Raw genomic sequence first — 17130 nt, 5'->3', positions numbered from 1 at the left:
ACAAAAAATATAAAAATTGGCTGGGCATGGTGGTGTGTGCCTGTAGTCCCAGGTACTCCAGAGGCTGAGGTGGGAGGATTGCTTTAGCCCAGGAGATTGAGGCTGCAGTGAGCTGTGATCGTGTCACTGCATTCCAGCCTGGGCAACATAGACCCTGTCTCAAAAAAAAAAAAAAAAAATTTTTTTTTTTTAATTTCTTGATATTCTGCTGTGGTTTAAGACATACTTTCACAGTGCATTTGATATAGTGTTGTTCAGCTTCATTTTATTCTATTGATTTAGGTGTTGGCATGAAAATCAATACCTTCCCCTTTCTTGCCCCTATAGTATATCCGGAACTGTGTGATGAACAGAGCCCTGCCCCATTTTATACTTGTGGAATGCTGCAAGATCAAGAAAATGTATGAACAAGAAATGATTGCCATAGAGGCTGCCATAAATCGAAATTCATCTAATCTTCCTCTTCCATTACCACCAAAGAAAACACGAATTATTTCTGTAAGTTTTATTTCTGAACCTTTAGTAACCCCAAAAGCCATGTGATTGTGTTAGTTTACATAAGTTTCACACATATTTCCTTTGCTCACTTCTCCTTCTGTGAAAACCAATACATATTTGCCAAAAATCGATCACCATTTATTTAAAAATTATCTTTCTAGATACTATTATTTTTACTCAAGCCACAATTAAATGTAAATATGCCGTTTATATTTTTGATGTCTTTTTCTGCCGAAGAAAAATGCCATCAAATTAGAGATTTTGATTTAAATATAGGACTTCAATGAGTAATTGGAGACATCCTAGTAGAAAAGTTAGATGTGCAGAAATAATTGAATTAACCAGTATATTTCATTTCTATCAGCTTAACTATGGTAGTATTTTTGGTATAATTTGCCTGCCTTCTTAATACTGAATTCTTTTAGTACTAAACATATATGAAGGGCACTATTGTTTTTCAGAATGTAATATATTTGTATAAAGCAAATTTTAACTTTGTCTTTATTTGAACAGTTAATACTTTTTAGTCAGTTACTCAGTCGTCACAAATTGTATATTGAACTACTCCTTGATGATGTTATTTCTATATTAATATAAATGGTCAGCTCTTAATTTATACAAAGCTTTTATTACTATTTGTTAATGCTTTTTAATTTAGTGAAATCTCTTAGCATTAGTGGAATGCTGCCTATGTTTTGCCATGAAAGCCAAGTGCTAGGGGTTATAATGCTTAATTAATTAATTAATTTTTTTTTTGAGACAGAGTCTTGCTCTGTCGCCCAGGCTGGAGTGCAGTGGCGCAATCTTGGCTCACTGCAAGCTCCGCCTCCCGGGTTCATGTCATTCTCCTGCCTCAGCCTCCCAAGTAACTGGGACTACAGGCGCCCGCCACCATGCCCAGCTAATTTTTTGTATTTTTAGTAGAGACGGGGTTTCACCGTGTTAGCCAGGATGGTCTCGATCTCCTGACCTCATGATCCACCTGCCTCAGCCTCCCAAAGTGCTGGGATTACAGGCGTGAGCCACCGCGCCCGGTCAATGCTTAATTTAGTATATGTGACTTTCAGTTGTTAGTTTAGAGCTCTATTTTCATAGTTTTGCCAATAGACATTAGAACTGATGACAATTGCATTGCTAGCATAGAATATTCATTTCTTTCATTAAAATAATTTGTATTTATTTTATTCTTTTACAGCATGTTTGGGAAAATAACAACCCTTTCCAAATTGTCTTGGTTAAGGGAAATAAACTTAACACAGAGGAAACTGTAAAAGTGAGTACCCACTAAGATTTGAATTTGCCATCCGCTCCAGTATTTGAATAACTCACTGATATGCTCAATAATGTCACATTGGAGATTGAATTTTACCCATATTGATCAATTACATGATATAGAATATGGTAATTTATTATAAGACTATTGAGAATTTTTGTTTTAAAATTTTAAAATTTTGTTTTAAAATTCAAAGACTTTTGAATCATTAGAGATCTACTGGAAAGATTGACATTATTTTTCCAGTATATATTACATATTTCTTCTATATATTATATAGAAGAAATATATAATATAGATGGGTAAGACTGTGAAGAAAGTTGAGAGAAATAATTCAAAGGTGCAAAGTAGAGTTATCTTGGTTGAATAATTCTAGAGAGCTAATGTACAACCCGAAGACTATAGTTAATGATATTTTATACAGGAATTTGCTAGGAGAGTAGATTTTAGGTACTCTTACCACTCCTTACTCAAAAAAAACAAAGGTAACTATATGTGATGATGAATATGTTAAATTTCAGCAAGTGAAAGTTAAGCCAAAACTATAGATCTCATGTTTTTATGCAAGCTTACTCTCCTCTCTCAGCCTTGCCTAGAGCTGCACTGAACCCCTCTTTCAGTCTTTTTTTTTTTTTTTTTTCTTTTCTTTCCTTTTAAACTGAGCACAGAGAACATGTAATACCATTTCCTGGAAGAAAATAGATTACTACGTTATGGACCACAAGTTGTTAACACATGGGGGTTTATTGCTCAATCCCATACATTTAAATAAAGACTTAACAAAGCATTTTGTCTCAGAGTATAAAGCATTTATTTTCCCTAATTTGCTGGGTAGGAAATTAAGTGAATAATTTTTGTGATCCAAGAAAGAGATTTGGTTTGTTTGAAATGTTTGTTGCTTGAAGATATATTCAGGAGCCCCTTGCCAAAAATTACCAATGTCTTGCTTTTGTACATGGGTATTAAAGATTTTGGGGGAGAGTAGAAGGGTGGTTACCGCCTTTGGTGTTAGACAAGTGGGTGAGGCTGTGAAAAAAGTTGAGAGAAATAATTTGAAGGTACAAAGAGTTATCTTGGTTGAATAATTCTGGAGATCTAATATACAACATGAAGACTATAGTTAATAATATTGTATACAGGAAATTTGCTAGGAAAGTAGATTTTAGGTACTCTTACCGCTCCTCAGAAAAGAAAAGTGTGTGTGGTAATGGATATGTTGATTTACTTGACTGTGTAGCAAGCACTTCATTCTATATTAAAACATCAATGTTGTACACCTTAAATATATGCAATTTTAGAAGAAGATTCTTTGAGTAGCTATCATTAAAATAAAGGCTTTGCTTTTATATCCTCAGCTAGATTTTTCTTTTTTTTTTTTGAGATGGAGTCTCACTCTGTTGCCCAGGCTAGAGCGCAGTGGCATGAACTCGGCTCACTGCAACCTCTGCCTCCCGGGTTCAAGCAATTCTTCTACCTTAGCCTCCCCAGTAACTGGGACTACAGGCACACGCCACCACACCTGGCTAATTTTTGTATTTTTAGTAGGGATGGGGTTTCACCATATTGGCCAGGCTGGTCTCGAACTCCTGACCTCGTGATCCGCCTGCTGTGGCCTCCCAAAGTGCTGGGATTACAAGTGTGAGCCACTGCGCCCAGCCTAGATTTTTCTTTTTAATGAGCATGTTTATGGCCGGTTAACCTCTGTTTTCTATTTTAGTGGTAATCCTGTTTTTATCTTTTAATTTAAATTTTTTAATTGCAAAAGTATAACAAGACTAATTGTTGCAACAAATGAAAAAGTGCAAACAGGCTGGGCGTGGTAGCTCACACCTGTAATCCTAGCACTTTGGGAGGCCAAGGCGGGCAGATCATTTGAGTCCAGGAGTTCAAGACCAGCCTGGGGAACACGGCGAAATCCCATCTCTACAAAAAATACAAAGCTTAGCTGGGTATGGTGGCATATGTCTGTAGTCCCAGCTATGAGGGAGGCTGAGGTGGGAGGATCGCTGGAGCCTGGGAGGTCGAGGCTGCCCCTGAGCTGAGATTGTGTCACTGCCTTCCACCCCGGTGACAGAGTGAGACCCAATCTCCCCCAAAAAAAAGAAAGGAAAAGAAAAAGTGCAAACATGATTAAGAAAAAAGGTACTGGTCTCTCCTTACCATCATAAGGGATTCAAAGTTAACAAGCTTTGTGAATGTCCTCCAGGTTTATAAAAATATATATAAACATATGATATGGAATTAAAGGGGTTTTGGTTGTGTTTATTTCTGTGATTTGTCAAATGGTTTGTTAATAAAGGGATGATACTATGTACATTGTTCTATAACTTGATTTATTCACTTTATAATATGTGCTGGACAGTCCTCTGGATTAGTAAATAGTAGACTTCCTTGAGGATTTTATTCTTTTTTTAAAAAAATTATTTATTTAGAGACAGGGTATTACTTTGTCACCCTCACTAGTTGAGTGGCATGATCATAGCTCACTGTAACCTTGAACTCCTGGTCTCAAGCGATCCTCCTACCTCAGCCTCCCAAGTAGCTAGGACTACAGGTATACACCATCACTTCCAGCTAATTTTTATTTTTATTTCTATTTTTATAGAGATAGGGTCTTGCTATGTTGCCAATGCTGGTCTTGAACTCCTAGCCTCAAGCAGTCCTCCTGCTTTGGCCTCTCAAAGCACTGGGATTACAGGCACAAGCCACCATGCCAGACCAGATTTCATTTTTAAAGGCAAAAATCACATGGAGTCAAATCTACCCACAAGTCATATGGAATATTATATATATATATGGTTTTGTTTAGTAATTTATAGGTATCGATATAGAATCTACGTAGTAACAAATGGGAATTTCTGCTTGTTCTTCCCATTTGCAGGTTATCATATTTGTCTTCTGTAGATAATTTATCAGTTCTTTGATTTGTTTATGGTTGGTATTTCTCTGCAGCCCTTTACTTAATTTCTTCCTAAAGAATATCCAAGAAGCCTTCATTCGTGTTTTATTTTTTCTCAAGCATTATGCGTTATTCCTTTGTCAGTGGTCAGAAACCCAATAAAGTCATTGACATTTTATGTCCATATGTTTTGCCACTTCTATCAGGTATCAAGCTTGATTGATTCTATTGTTTGCCGTTGTTATGTTCATGGAGAGGATTAATGGGCTTAATGACAGGTAGTATTTAATGTATGTACCTCACCCCACCGTACCTAGCACTGTAGTTCTCTTTTTCTTTCTTCTCCCCAGCAGGATTATATAGTTGAATTTGAGTACATTAAATGTAATTATGACATGATTTTCCTGTAGATATACCTTGCTACACAGGTGAGGAGCTCCAGTAGAATGTTAAAGCAAAATCTGAAAAAAGGTGGCAGCTTTACATCTTTCTTTCCAAACTTTTTTCTTTCCTGTATGCACTGGCTAAGAATCCCAGTACAATTTCAAATAGAAGTGATAAGGGTAAATGGATTACTCAGGGTTCTCCAGAGAAACAGAGCCAATAGGATACAATATGTATAGCTATATCTATATTATCACATATAAATAAGCAAAAAATATAGAAGATTTATTATAAGAAATTGACTTAAATGATTATGGAGGTGGGCAACTGGAGACCCAAGAGAGCCAGTGGTTGAGTTCCAGTCTGAATCTGAAAGCCTGAGAACCAGGAATGCCAGTGGGTGTAGTTCCTATCTGAAGGCTGGTAGGCTTGACTCAAACCCAGGAAGAGCCAATGTTTCAGTTAGAGTCCCAAGGCAGGGAAAAAAGCCAATGTCCCAGTTACAAGGCAGTCAAGCAGGAAGAATTCTGTCTTACTTGGGGAGGGTCAGTCTTTGTTCTCTTCAGGTATTCAGCTAGTTGGATGAGGCTAGCCTACATCAGGGAGGGCAATCTGCTTTACCCAGTCTACTGATCACAATGTTAATCACATCCAAAATCACCCAGAATAATGTTTGACCAAATATCTCATTAGTAACACCCAGAAAAATGTTTGACCAAATACCAGGGTACCCTGTGACCTAATCAAGTTGACACATAAAATTAACCATTATAGTAGACCTTCTTTTTTTTTTTTTTCTGAGAGAGTCTCACTCTGTCACCCAGGCTGGAGTGCAGTGGCGCAATCTCACCTCACTGCAACCTCCGCCTCCCGGGTTCAAGTGATTCTCATGCCTCAGTGTCCGGTGTAGCTGGAATTATAGGCACCTGCCACCACACCCAGCTAATTTTTGTATTTTTAGTAGAGACAGGGTTTCGCCATGTTGGCCAGCCTGGTCTCAAACTCCTGACCTCAGGTGATCCACCCACCTCAGCCTTCCAAAATGCTGGGATTACAGATGTGAGCTACTATGCCCAGCCTGCCATCTTGATTTTGTTCTTTATCTTAAAGGACAGCATTCATTAAGTCTTTCAACTTTAAATATAATGTAGTTTTTTTCATAGATGCCCCTTATTCAAGAAATTCTCTTCCTAGTTTGCTGAAAATTTTTATCCTTTAAGAAAAAGTTAATCACTTTTTCTGCATTTTTTGAGATGATTTGTATATTTTAATTCATTGGTTTTCTTTTTTTTTTTTTTGAGACGGAGTCTCACTCTGCCACCCAGGCTGGAGTGCAGTGGCTCAATCTCGGCTCACTGCAAGCTCCCCCTCCCGGGTTCATGCCATTCTCCTGCCTCAGCCTCCTGAGTAGCTGGGACTATAGGCACCCGCCACCATGCCTGGCTAATGTTTTGTATTTTTTTTAGTAGAGACGGGGTTTCACCATGTTAGCCAGGATGGTCTCGATCTCCTGACCTCATGATCCACCCGCCTCGGCCTCCCAAAGTGCTGTGATTACAGGCGTGAGCCACTGCGCCTGGCATCCATTGGTTTTCAAAAGTTGAAACCAACCTTACTTTTCTGAAATAATGTTCACTCGGTCAAGATGTGTTAGCCTTTTTATACATTATTAAATTTGACTTATTAATATTTTGTTATGGATTTTATGGTCTATGCTCATAAGGAAAATTGAGGAATATTGGTGTGTTCTTGACTTGTAATGTCTTTCTTTGATTTTGGTATTAGAATAACGTTGGTCATATAATGAGGTGAGAAGCCTTCTCTATTTTCTGAACAAGTTTACGTTCAGAAAATACCAGTTGGACTGGTATTATTTATTGCTTAAATATTTAATTGAACTTACTCCATGCCAGCTGAGCCTTAAGTTTTCTTTATGGGAAGGTTTTTAATTAGAAACTTAATTTATAGCCAGGAGTCGTGGCTCATGCCTACATTCCCAGAACTTTGGGAGGCCGAGGCGGGTGGATCACCTGAGGTCAGGAGTTCGAGACCAGCCTAACCAACAGGCCGAGGCGGGCGGATCTCGAGGTCAGGAGATCGAGACCATCCTGGCTAACACTGAAACCTGGGAGGCGGAGGTTGCAGTGAGCTGAGGTCACACCATTGCACTCCAGCCTGGGCAGCAAGAGCGAAACTCCATCTCAAAAAAACAAAACAAAACAAAACAAAAAAAGAAAGAAATTCAAAATTTATTTAATGGGTATGGTAGACAGATTTTCTGTTTCTTTTGTGTCAATTTTGGTAATTTTTGTCTTTCAGAGAATTTGTTTTGTTGTTGTTTATTGGCATAAAGTTCATAGTAGTCCCTTATGTTAGTTTTCTGTTGCTGGATAACAAAATACCATAAACTTAAAACAACATTTACTTACTAGCTCAGCAATCTAGGTGTACTTTGGCTGCACTCCTTTTTGAAAGCTCTGAAAGAGTCTGCTTCTGAACTGATTCAAGTTGTTGGCCCAGTTCTGTTCCATGTGATTGTAGGCCTGAAGTCTCCAATTCCCTGCTGGCTGTTGGCTGGGGTCTTCTCTCTGTAACTAGAGACAGCTCTCAGATCCTTGCCCTGTGGCCCTGTCTAACTTTTAAGTCTGGAAAATTTCTCACGCATCAAATTTTCTCATTCTTTGACTCTTTTGCTAGGAAGAGCTGAGTGTCTTTTAAGGGTTCAACAAATAAGTCAGTCTCACTGAGGATTCTCTGCCCTCCTTAAAGCTGACAGTATCATATAGTATAACCTAATCACAGGCGTCTAATCCATCGTATTTGCAGTCTGAGAGATCATATAGGACACATGACTCTGTATGAGGTCTATAACAGAAATCTCAAATGTTCAGTGTTGACTCACCACTCTGCCTCCCTGGCACTTGAACATCTTCCATCTCTGTGGGAGTGCTTGGAATTCTGTAGCATATAGCTTCCTGATCAATCTTTCCTTGGCCTTGTAGGGCTTTTTGTTTGTTTTTTGTTTTTTTAAAGACAGTCTTGCTCCGTCACCCAGGTTGGAGTGGAGTGGATAAACACGGCTCACTGCAGCCTTGACTTCCTGGGTTCAAGATACCCTCCTGCCTCAGACTCCTGTATATCTGGGACTACAGGCATGCACCACCACACCCAGCTAATTTTTTTTTTTTTTTGACTTTTTATAGAGACGAGATTTCACTGTGTTGTCCAGGTTGGCCTTGAACTCCTCCGCTCAAGTGATCCTTCTGCCTCAGCCTCCCAAAGTGCTGGGATTTCAGGCATGAGCCACCGAGCCTGGCTAGCCTTGTAGTGTTTTCCTCTTTCATGTGTACATCTTAATTAATATTCAGCAGAAGCCTGAACTCAGTGTTGCCTAAAGTCTAGAAGATGACATTATTTATAGCTGTTTATAGCTCTAGTGGGAAAGGGGTCTTCTAACTCTCAGAGAATGTATGAATTGTACCTCTTTTTCTCCTCTTTTTGTTTCTTTTTTCTCTTCTGCATTGCCCCGGTCTCTGAACAGTATTGTGGCAATAGCAACGGTGGTAGCAGTGGCAGTGGCAGGAGAAGCGGGGACAGGCAGAGCCTAAGACTCAGAGTTGAATGTCCGTTTCAATTATAGGAGTTGTAGATACAAGAGAATGGAGTAAGTCTCCCCTTCCCTCACCCCCCTAGTGTTTAGCATAGTTGCAGGAAGTGTGAGTGAATAAAGCCGCAGCTTTCTGGTTGGATAACAAGTAAAGGGGAACCCCAGCCTACTAAAAAATACTTGGAACATTGCAGAGTGAGATAAGCTCAGGAAAGCAACCTCTTAAAGTTATCTGTGTTTATAAGCTTATTCCTGAGCTGTGCATATGAGGATCTGCTCTTAACAGTCTACATACTTTGAGAACTGAACAGTGGCATATTCCATTAGCCAAGTCTCAAACTGGTTAATGTGTAGTGCACACATGGGACAGATGCAAATAGCCCTGCAAGAAGACTTGAAAACTGAACTGGTATCGGAACTGTAGCTCACAGAAGGCTCATGGAAACTTCCAACTGTTGAACCTAACTAACTATGGTCCCCCAAAACAAAAATATCAACATTCTCCATAGGATATAAACAAGACCCAATGTCTCATAACATAATAGACAAAATATCTGGAATACAATTCAAAATTAGTTGACACATAAAGAATGAGGAAAATCTGAAGTTGTGTGGACAATGATAGTTCAATAGACGTCAGTGACGAGATGACACAGATGTTGGAATTATCTCACAAAGACATTAAAGCAGTTATGAAAATGCTATAACAACTAAGGGCAAATCAGCAGGAGGGACTGGAGAGGGAGAAAGTTTCAGCCATTAAATAGAAGATATAAGGAAGAATCAAATGGAAAATTCAGAACTAAAAAATATAATAACTGAAATTTAAAAATACACTGAATGGACCCAATAGCAGAATGGTGATGAAAAAGGAAAGGATCAGTGAACTTAAAGATTAATCAATACAAATTTTCCAGTTTGAACAACAGAGAGAAAAATGGGAGAAAAATTCGATAGAGCCCCAGGAACCTGTGAGAAAATACTAGAAAGTCTAACATTTGTGCAATCTGACTTTGAGAAAAATAAGAGAAAGAGTACAGTTCAGGAAGACTACTTAAGGAAATAATCACAGGAAACTAGATTATCGGCAAAGTCAGCAAAAGACAGAAACACAAATTCAAGAATCCCAAGAGAAATACAAGTGCAGACATATCCTGTATCACACGTATTAGTCATACATCATAATTCCCCATAGCCTAGTTATATAGGTCTCAGGACTCCTTATCTATTAAAGTATATAACCCAAGGAACTTGTATCTTTAATCTTAAACATTAAAAATATATATATTTAGGGAGTATAAATGCATATTTCTTACATGCATATATTGCATAGAAGTGAAGTCTGGGCATATATTGCATAGAAGTGAAGTCTGGGCTTTTAGTGTATTTATCACCCAAATACTGAACACTGCCCAACAGGTAAATTTTCAAACCTCACACCCACACCCCCTACCCCCACACCTTCCCCGTATTTTCCTCTTTTTATCTTCTTTCAGTGCCTGGAACACTGAATAAATATTTGTGCAATGAATGAATACATTTTAACGTAACTGTCTCTAACATTTTATCCTTAGTTGAAGGTCATGTAGTATTCTTCTCATAAGTCAGAACAAAGCTACCTTTTTACAAATTGTGACATAATAAAGAATATACATTTGGTCTCCGCCGTGGCTTTTGGCACAGAGCTCCTTAAGTCCCTTGTCATTTCCTGAGTGATAGGAGCATCTATTATTCTAATGGTTTGATCTAGTCTCAGTGTCCTGACAAAAGAGCTTTCAAGACCCATGGAATCTGGGTAATGATAGAAGTGTCTTTTTGTATGCTGACAAGATGAATGGAGACTTACAGTCCCTAGATAGCTCCAGGATGGAGCCGGTTGCCAGAGAAACCAACCACGTGAATAGAGGATTGGAACTTTCAGCTCCACACCGGGACTTCTGGAGTGGGGAGGGAGGACAGAGACCGACTTAACAGTGGCCAATGACTTAATAACCATACCTACTTAATGGAGCCTCCTCCATAAAAACCCTAAATAATGGGATTTGCAGGACTTCTGGGTTAGTGAATATATCCACATGCTGAGAGGATAGTGCAGCCAAATTCTATGGGGACAAGCTTCTGCACTTGGAACCCTTCTGGACCTTGAAGAACATATATATACCTTTTCATTTGGCTATTCATTTCTATCCTTTGTAATATCCTTTATAATAAATGGGTAAATGTGTTTCCCTGAGTTTTGTGAGCCGTTAGAGCAAATTGAACCTGAGGAGGGCATTTGTGGGAACCCTTGATTGATCACAAGTACAAATAATAACCTGAGATTTGCAATTGTCACCTGAATTGGAAGTCAGTCTTATGGAACTAATGCCATAACCTGGTAGCATCTGCCCTAAGTCCAGGTAGCATCAAAATTGAATTGTAGGATACCCAATTGGTGTCCAGAGAGTTGGAGAATTGGTTGGTGTAGGAAAACCCTCACATTTGGTGTCTGAAGTGATGAAGGTAGAAGAGACAGTTTTTCACTTTTTACAAATGATCAAGGCTGGGAAATTCCCAAAACATGGGAATTTCCACCTATTCATGCTACTGATCTTTTTTTGTGTCTAATATCTAAGGGCAAAAATGTAGTGGATTTTGGCCATATTGTGGAACAAGAAGGAAATTAAAATGTTGATGTGAAAAAAATTCATATCTTATTCAACACAGAACATTTTTAATTGGTGAGTATAGGAATGCAGTCTGTGTGTTGGCTTGGCACCTCCCTGCTATAGCACAGTGGCAAGTCCTTTGCATGTCAAAGCCTGACTTCTTTTGCTCTCCTAATGTTCTGGGGCTTGTGAAGAAGTGTTTCCATGAAAATTTATTAAAGTTGGATAATAAAACATGTAACCGTATAAAGCATGATTATTATTTTTATTTTTGAGACGGGGTCTCGCTCTGTCACCCAGGCTGGAGTGCAGTGACACGTCTTGGCTCACCACAGGCTCTGGCCCCAAGGCTCAAGGGATCCTTCCACCTCAGCCTCCTGAGTAGCTGGGATCATAGGCCCACACCACCACGCCCGGCTATTTTTTGTATTTTGAGTAGAGAGGAGAGTTCGCCATGTTGCCCAGGCTGGTCTCGAACTCCTGAGCTCAAGCGATCTGCCCACCTCGACCTCCCAAAGTGTTGCGATTACAGGCGTGAGCCACTGTGCCAGGTTTTAAATCATACTTTAAATAAATTATACTTTAAAATGCTTTACTTCTCAAGATTGAAGATAACCCAGATCAAACTTCAGGAAATGGGACAATTTTTATAAAATTTCATGTGATACAAATTTAGAGGATGGATTTTGTTACTGCTTTTTCTGAAAACAAAAACTTCTTTTTTTATGCTTCTTTTCTTTTTATTGGGAGATTCTAAATTCAGAGAACAAAATTTTTAGCATCATTATAAAGTTGGGTCTTTTTTCCTACTCTTGTTTCTTTTTAACGATTTGTCAACTTTAATAATTATGGTAAATTACACAGAGATTTCTCAAGCAGAACTAATCTTAATGACTTGGCCTGAAATAAATCATACTTTGACTGTTAAATAATGATACTTATTTTCAACAAATTTTTTCAGAATGTTCAGGGTCTTGTTTTTTTTAAATTGTCACCATGCTCAAGTTAGATTAATTCTTTATTGTTATTCTTTTCAAGATCACATTTTTTGTTGTGGCTGTTCACACAGATGGTACGGGACTTTTTTTTAGCCCATTATAATTCAGGGTTTTTTGGGTTTTTTTTTTTTGAGCTTTTATAGCAGCTCATCCCTAATTCTACTTCATTTCCTATACCTGAGTTTTGCCAGAAGTTTTTGGATGCAGTTATAACTAGCATTCTGTTTTGTTTTGTTTTTAAATACTAGCGAACATTTATTGAGCCTTTATTATATGGTGGGAACTTATTTGTCTTTATTTCTCAATGTCTTTATCACCAGAACACTGAAAAATAATCATTTGTAAAATTCATAATTTTCTGCATAAACTATATTTAAATGCCATATTAAAAAGGTGACAAATTCAGGTAAGATTATCGAGAGTAAGAATTGAATACCACTTTTATCCTGATATTCCTATCTTATAACCTCCCATACAACAGATGCAAAATATATTTTATGTATGTTTTGTTTTATTTATGATTTACCAAATCTCATTTTACAGATTATTTGAGGTGAGCCTACACACGTGTGTGTGTGTGTGTGTGTGTGTGTGTGTGTGTGTCTCTTACATAGCACATACAATACAGACAGTTTTGACTTTAAAAAAAATAGAGGATAGTTAATTGACAGGAAATAAGAAAAAAAAAAAAAAAACACCCAGTAGCAAGATTCCTAGTAGGTATGTGTATAATATTAGATCCTGTGTGATTAATTTTTTGATGTGGGCTACATATTTGACTGTCTGCTTGCCCTACACCTAGTGGACAAGGCAAAGAGAAAACATGATCAGTTATAATATTCAGAATCTCATAAGGTAAAACAAACTAGTTATTTATGAGTTTGTAGCATATTTCAATACTGTAAATTGAGAGAGATATGCTTAGGGAATCCTTATGAATGAGACACAGTGAGTAATGTAGTGAGCACCAACACCTCTGACAACATCATATTATAGTAGGCAAAATAATGCTTCTCATCTCTCTTATAATGTCTTTCACTAGGTAGACATAAAATACAATATTGACAGTATAATCTGGAAAAAGTCATTCTAGAAGAGACCAAATTAATTCAGTCTTAGTACTGTATTCACCCATTTGATGGTTTATCTTTAATTGAATAATATTTGGACTTCCTAAATAAATGTTGTGTGTTTTTCAGGAAATTCTGTATGCATATTTTTATTCAAAACTGGATTTGGGAAAGATTAGGCAGTGGAGACTTTGTTGTGTTCATTTAAAGTCAAATAAGATCAAAGTGTATATACATATATATGCACACATGGATCATCAACTGAGCCTAGAGTAACATTAAATCATCTTGGCCATGCCCAGTGGCTCATGCCTGTAATCCCAGCAGTTTGGGAGGCCCAGACAAGTGGAACACCTGAGGTCAGGAGTTAGAGACCGGCATGACCAACATGGTGAAACCTCATCTCTAATAAAAATACAAAAAAATTAGCCAGGTGTGGTGGCAGGTGCTTATAATCCCAGCTACTCGGGAGGCTGAGGCAGGAGAATTGCTTGAACCCAGAAGGCGGATGTTGCAGTGAGCCGAGATCATGCCATTGCACTCCAGCGTGGGCAATGAGAGCAAAACTCTGTCTCAAAAAAAAAAAACTTAAGGATATGAAGTTTCTAAGCAGAAATCATGTGTGAATAGATGGCACTGCCCTCTCCCCCACTCACCTTTCATGAAGATATGTGGAGTGTTAGTTGACTATGAAATCACTTTCATTTTCCCAAAAAGTAGCTTAAACAGGGCTTTGAAGTTTTTTTGTAGTTTGCAGGCTTATTATCTCTCTGGAGAGTAAATGGTAATAGAAATTTTGAGCAGTAAAAGGTAAGAAATCTTACAGTAACAAAATAGTTTTTTCTTTATTTTCTTTCTTTCCTTTCTTTTCTTTTTTCTTTCTGAATGAGGCAGGGTCTTGCTCTGTCACCCAGGCTGGCATGCAGTGGCACAATCTCTGCTCACTGCAACCTATGCCTCTAGGGCTCAGGCGATCCTCCCACGTCAGCCTCCTGAGTAGCTGTGACTACAGGTGCACGCCACCACACCTGACTAATTTTTGTATTTTTTTGTAGAGATGGGCTTTTGCCATGTTGCCCAGGCTGGTCTTGAACTCCTGCGCTCAAGGGATCTGCCTGCCTTGGCTTCCCAAAGTGCTGGGATTACAGGTGTAAGCCACCTCACCCAGCCTGAAATAGTAATTTTACATTTGAAAACAGTCAGTCATGGTGCTGGTCTGCCTGAAAACATTTGGGATGGAGAGGAGGCAGGTGATTAGGTTTATCCAAGATACAGACTTCCAGACGAGTGTGATGGGAGAGAGGCACTTGCAGATAATTTTGGTGAGAGTGAAGGCAGACAAAACTATTAGAGAAGTGGGGAGAAAGAGGTGTTGGTTGTTGAAATAGAGGTCTTAGTGATGGCTACAAAGTTTTCCTTTGGGAATGTATTAACAGTAAGTTGGAATCAGGGTGGGAAGTGGTTGGAAACTGAGATGTAATAATTAGTGATTTGGAGGTGCTAGGGTGTGGTGAAGTCAAATTCAGGGTGGCATCGTGAGATTGTGTGGCTGAAGGGAAGGAGAGAAGTACCTAGTTGGAGATATTTAGGTCAAGGAACTCAGGAGTCAGATGGGTTGTTTGCCTCAGGCATGCGGACCCTGCATCAATACCTGTTAGTGATTTTCTTCTCACTTAGTCGTCTTCACATCTTGGAAAGCAATTACTGGTATCTTTCTTGTCAGAAACTTGAAAAAGTACACCACTTTGCTTGATTCCCAAGCTTTTTTTTTCTAGCCTAGCTATTTCTTCAGGTCTCATTTTCTATTTTCACACTGTACATACACATTTCTTCCCCTACCCCCCTTTTTTTTTGTCAGTGTTTGCAGAGCAGATTGGGAGTTTATATGAATTTAGTTTAAATGAATGGAATTTAGGTTAAATGTTGAGTATATAATATCATACAGAATTTTTGGTAATGTGTTTAAAGCTATGAAATTGATTATTTCTTCAGCCTTGAAAGACTTCTCTGGAGATGATACAGAGCTGATACAGACATTGATGATGGGGCTGTTTCTTAATTGCTCAGGAGAAAATAATTGTTGTATGGTTCTTACAGGCAACTAAACTTTTATTTAGAGAAACAAAGTAATTGGGAATATGAGAAGTGAAATGTGTCTTAATATGCCTTCACTTATTCCTATTCTTTCTAGTGTTCTATTTTAGCTGTTTAAAATACCACGCTAGACCGGTGTTAAAGGCTCATACCTTTGGGAGCCAAGGTGGGCAGATCACTTGAGCTCAGGAGTTTGAGACCAGCCTGGACAACTTGGCGAAACCCTGTCTTTACTAAAAATACAAAAATTAGCCAGGCATGGTGGTGCGCACCTGTAATCCCAGCTACTTGGGAGGCTGAAGTGGGAGGATCACTTGAACCCGGGAGATGGATGTTGCAGTTAGTTGAGATCATGCCACTGCACTGCAGCCTGGGTGACAGAGTGAGACCTCATCTCAAAAAAAAAAAAAAAAAAAAAAAAAAAATACTGAGCTAATGTAAGTTTCTGATAAGTTAGATACTTTGTTTATAGCATATAAGGTAGATATAAAGATTTTCTAAAAGTGCTGTTGTGTAAATCTTTCTTCATAATTTTCTTTAGTTCATAGTCTTTAGAAACTAAAAATGAAAGTGCCCAGGCTTTTTGACTAATTTCTGGGAACACAGGGAAATACCATTTAAAGTAGTTCAGAGACATGGACTTAAAGAAAGATTGCTTAAGGGTGTGACTACTTAATCCTGAAACTGCCTGCTTAAAGAGAGGGAGAAAAACCCAAATGGTTGTTTTAAAAAATCATATCTAATACAAAAATAGGCATATAGACCAATGGAACAGAATAAAGAGCCCAGAAATAAGGCTGCACACCTACGACCATCTGATCTTCAGCAAAGTTGACAAAAACAAGCAGTGGGGAAAAGACTCCCTATTCAATAAATGGTGCTGGGATAACTGGCAAGCCGTATGTAGATGATTGAAGCTGGACTCCTTCCTTACACCATAAACAAAAGTCAACTCAAGGTGGATTAAAGACTTAATGTAAATGTACACTTATATTTACTTTACATGTAAAACCTCAAACTATAAAAACCCTGGAAGACAACCTAGGCAATACCATCCTGCACTTAGGAATGGGCAAAAATTTTATGACAAAGACACCAAAAGCGATCACAACAAAAGCAAAAATTGACAAGTGGGATTTAACTAAACGTAAGAGCTTCTGCAGAGCCAAAGAACCTATCAACAGAGTAAACAGCCTACAGAATGGGAGAAAATATTTGCAAACTATGCATCAGACAAAGATCTATTAGCCAGTATCTATAAGGAATTTAAACAAATTTATAAGAAAAAAAACATTAAAAGTGGGCAAATGACATGAACAGACACTTTTCAAAAGAAGACATACATGCGGCCAACAAGCATATGCAAAAAAGCTTAATGTCACTGATCATTAGAGAAATGCAAATCAAAACCACAATGAGATACCATCTCACACCAGTCGCAATGGCTATTGTTAAAAAGTCAAAAAATAAGAGATGCTGGTGAGGTTGTGGAGAACACATACACACTGCTGGTGGGAGTGTAAATTAGTTCAACCATTGTAAAAAGCAGTATGGCGATTCCTTAAAAAACTAAAAGCAGAACTACCATTTGACCCATCAATCCTATTACTGGGTATATACCCAGAGGAATAGAAATCATTCTAGCATAAAGACACATGC

General features: G+C 38.2%; 1 protein-coding gene across 13 annotated transcripts in view, besides 1 other annotated feature; it reads left to right on the top strand.

The window, feature by feature from the left end:
- Positions 1 to 17130, top strand: part of PIK3CB (phosphatidylinositol-4,5-bisphosphate 3-kinase catalytic subunit beta) — a 182231-nt gene that overhangs the window by 99797 nt on the left and 65304 nt on the right. For all 13 annotated transcript variants that reach the window (NM_001437290.1, NM_001437286.1, NM_001437289.1 and 10 more), the window contains 2 exons: positions 328 to 498; positions 1694 to 1771. In NM_001437290.1, coding sequence (NP_001424219.1) covers positions 328 to 498; positions 1694 to 1771 — 249 coding nt within the window. The remainder of the gene's footprint in view (positions 1 to 327; positions 499 to 1693; positions 1772 to 17130) is intronic.
- Positions 4671 to 5194: an enhancer, noted in NCBI's record as "NANOG hESC enhancer chr3:138448780-138449303 (GRCh37/hg19 assembly coordinates)". NCBI's record gives its function as "activates a minimal SCP1, AML or CMV promoter by ChIP-STARR-seq in naive H9 embryonic stem cells {active_cell/tissue: H9 hESC(naive)}" and the evidence as "EXISTENCE:reporter gene assay evidence [ECO:0000049][PMID:30033119]".

Source organism: Homo sapiens, chromosome 3 (assembly GCF_000001405.40).
Source record: "Homo sapiens chromosome 3, GRCh38.p14 Primary Assembly".
In the NCBI taxonomy this organism is placed as follows: Eukaryota; Metazoa; Chordata; class Mammalia; order Primates; family Hominidae; genus Homo; species Homo sapiens.
Note: the sequence above shows the minus strand (reverse complement) of the source record. Positions and strands in the feature narration are given on the sequence as shown.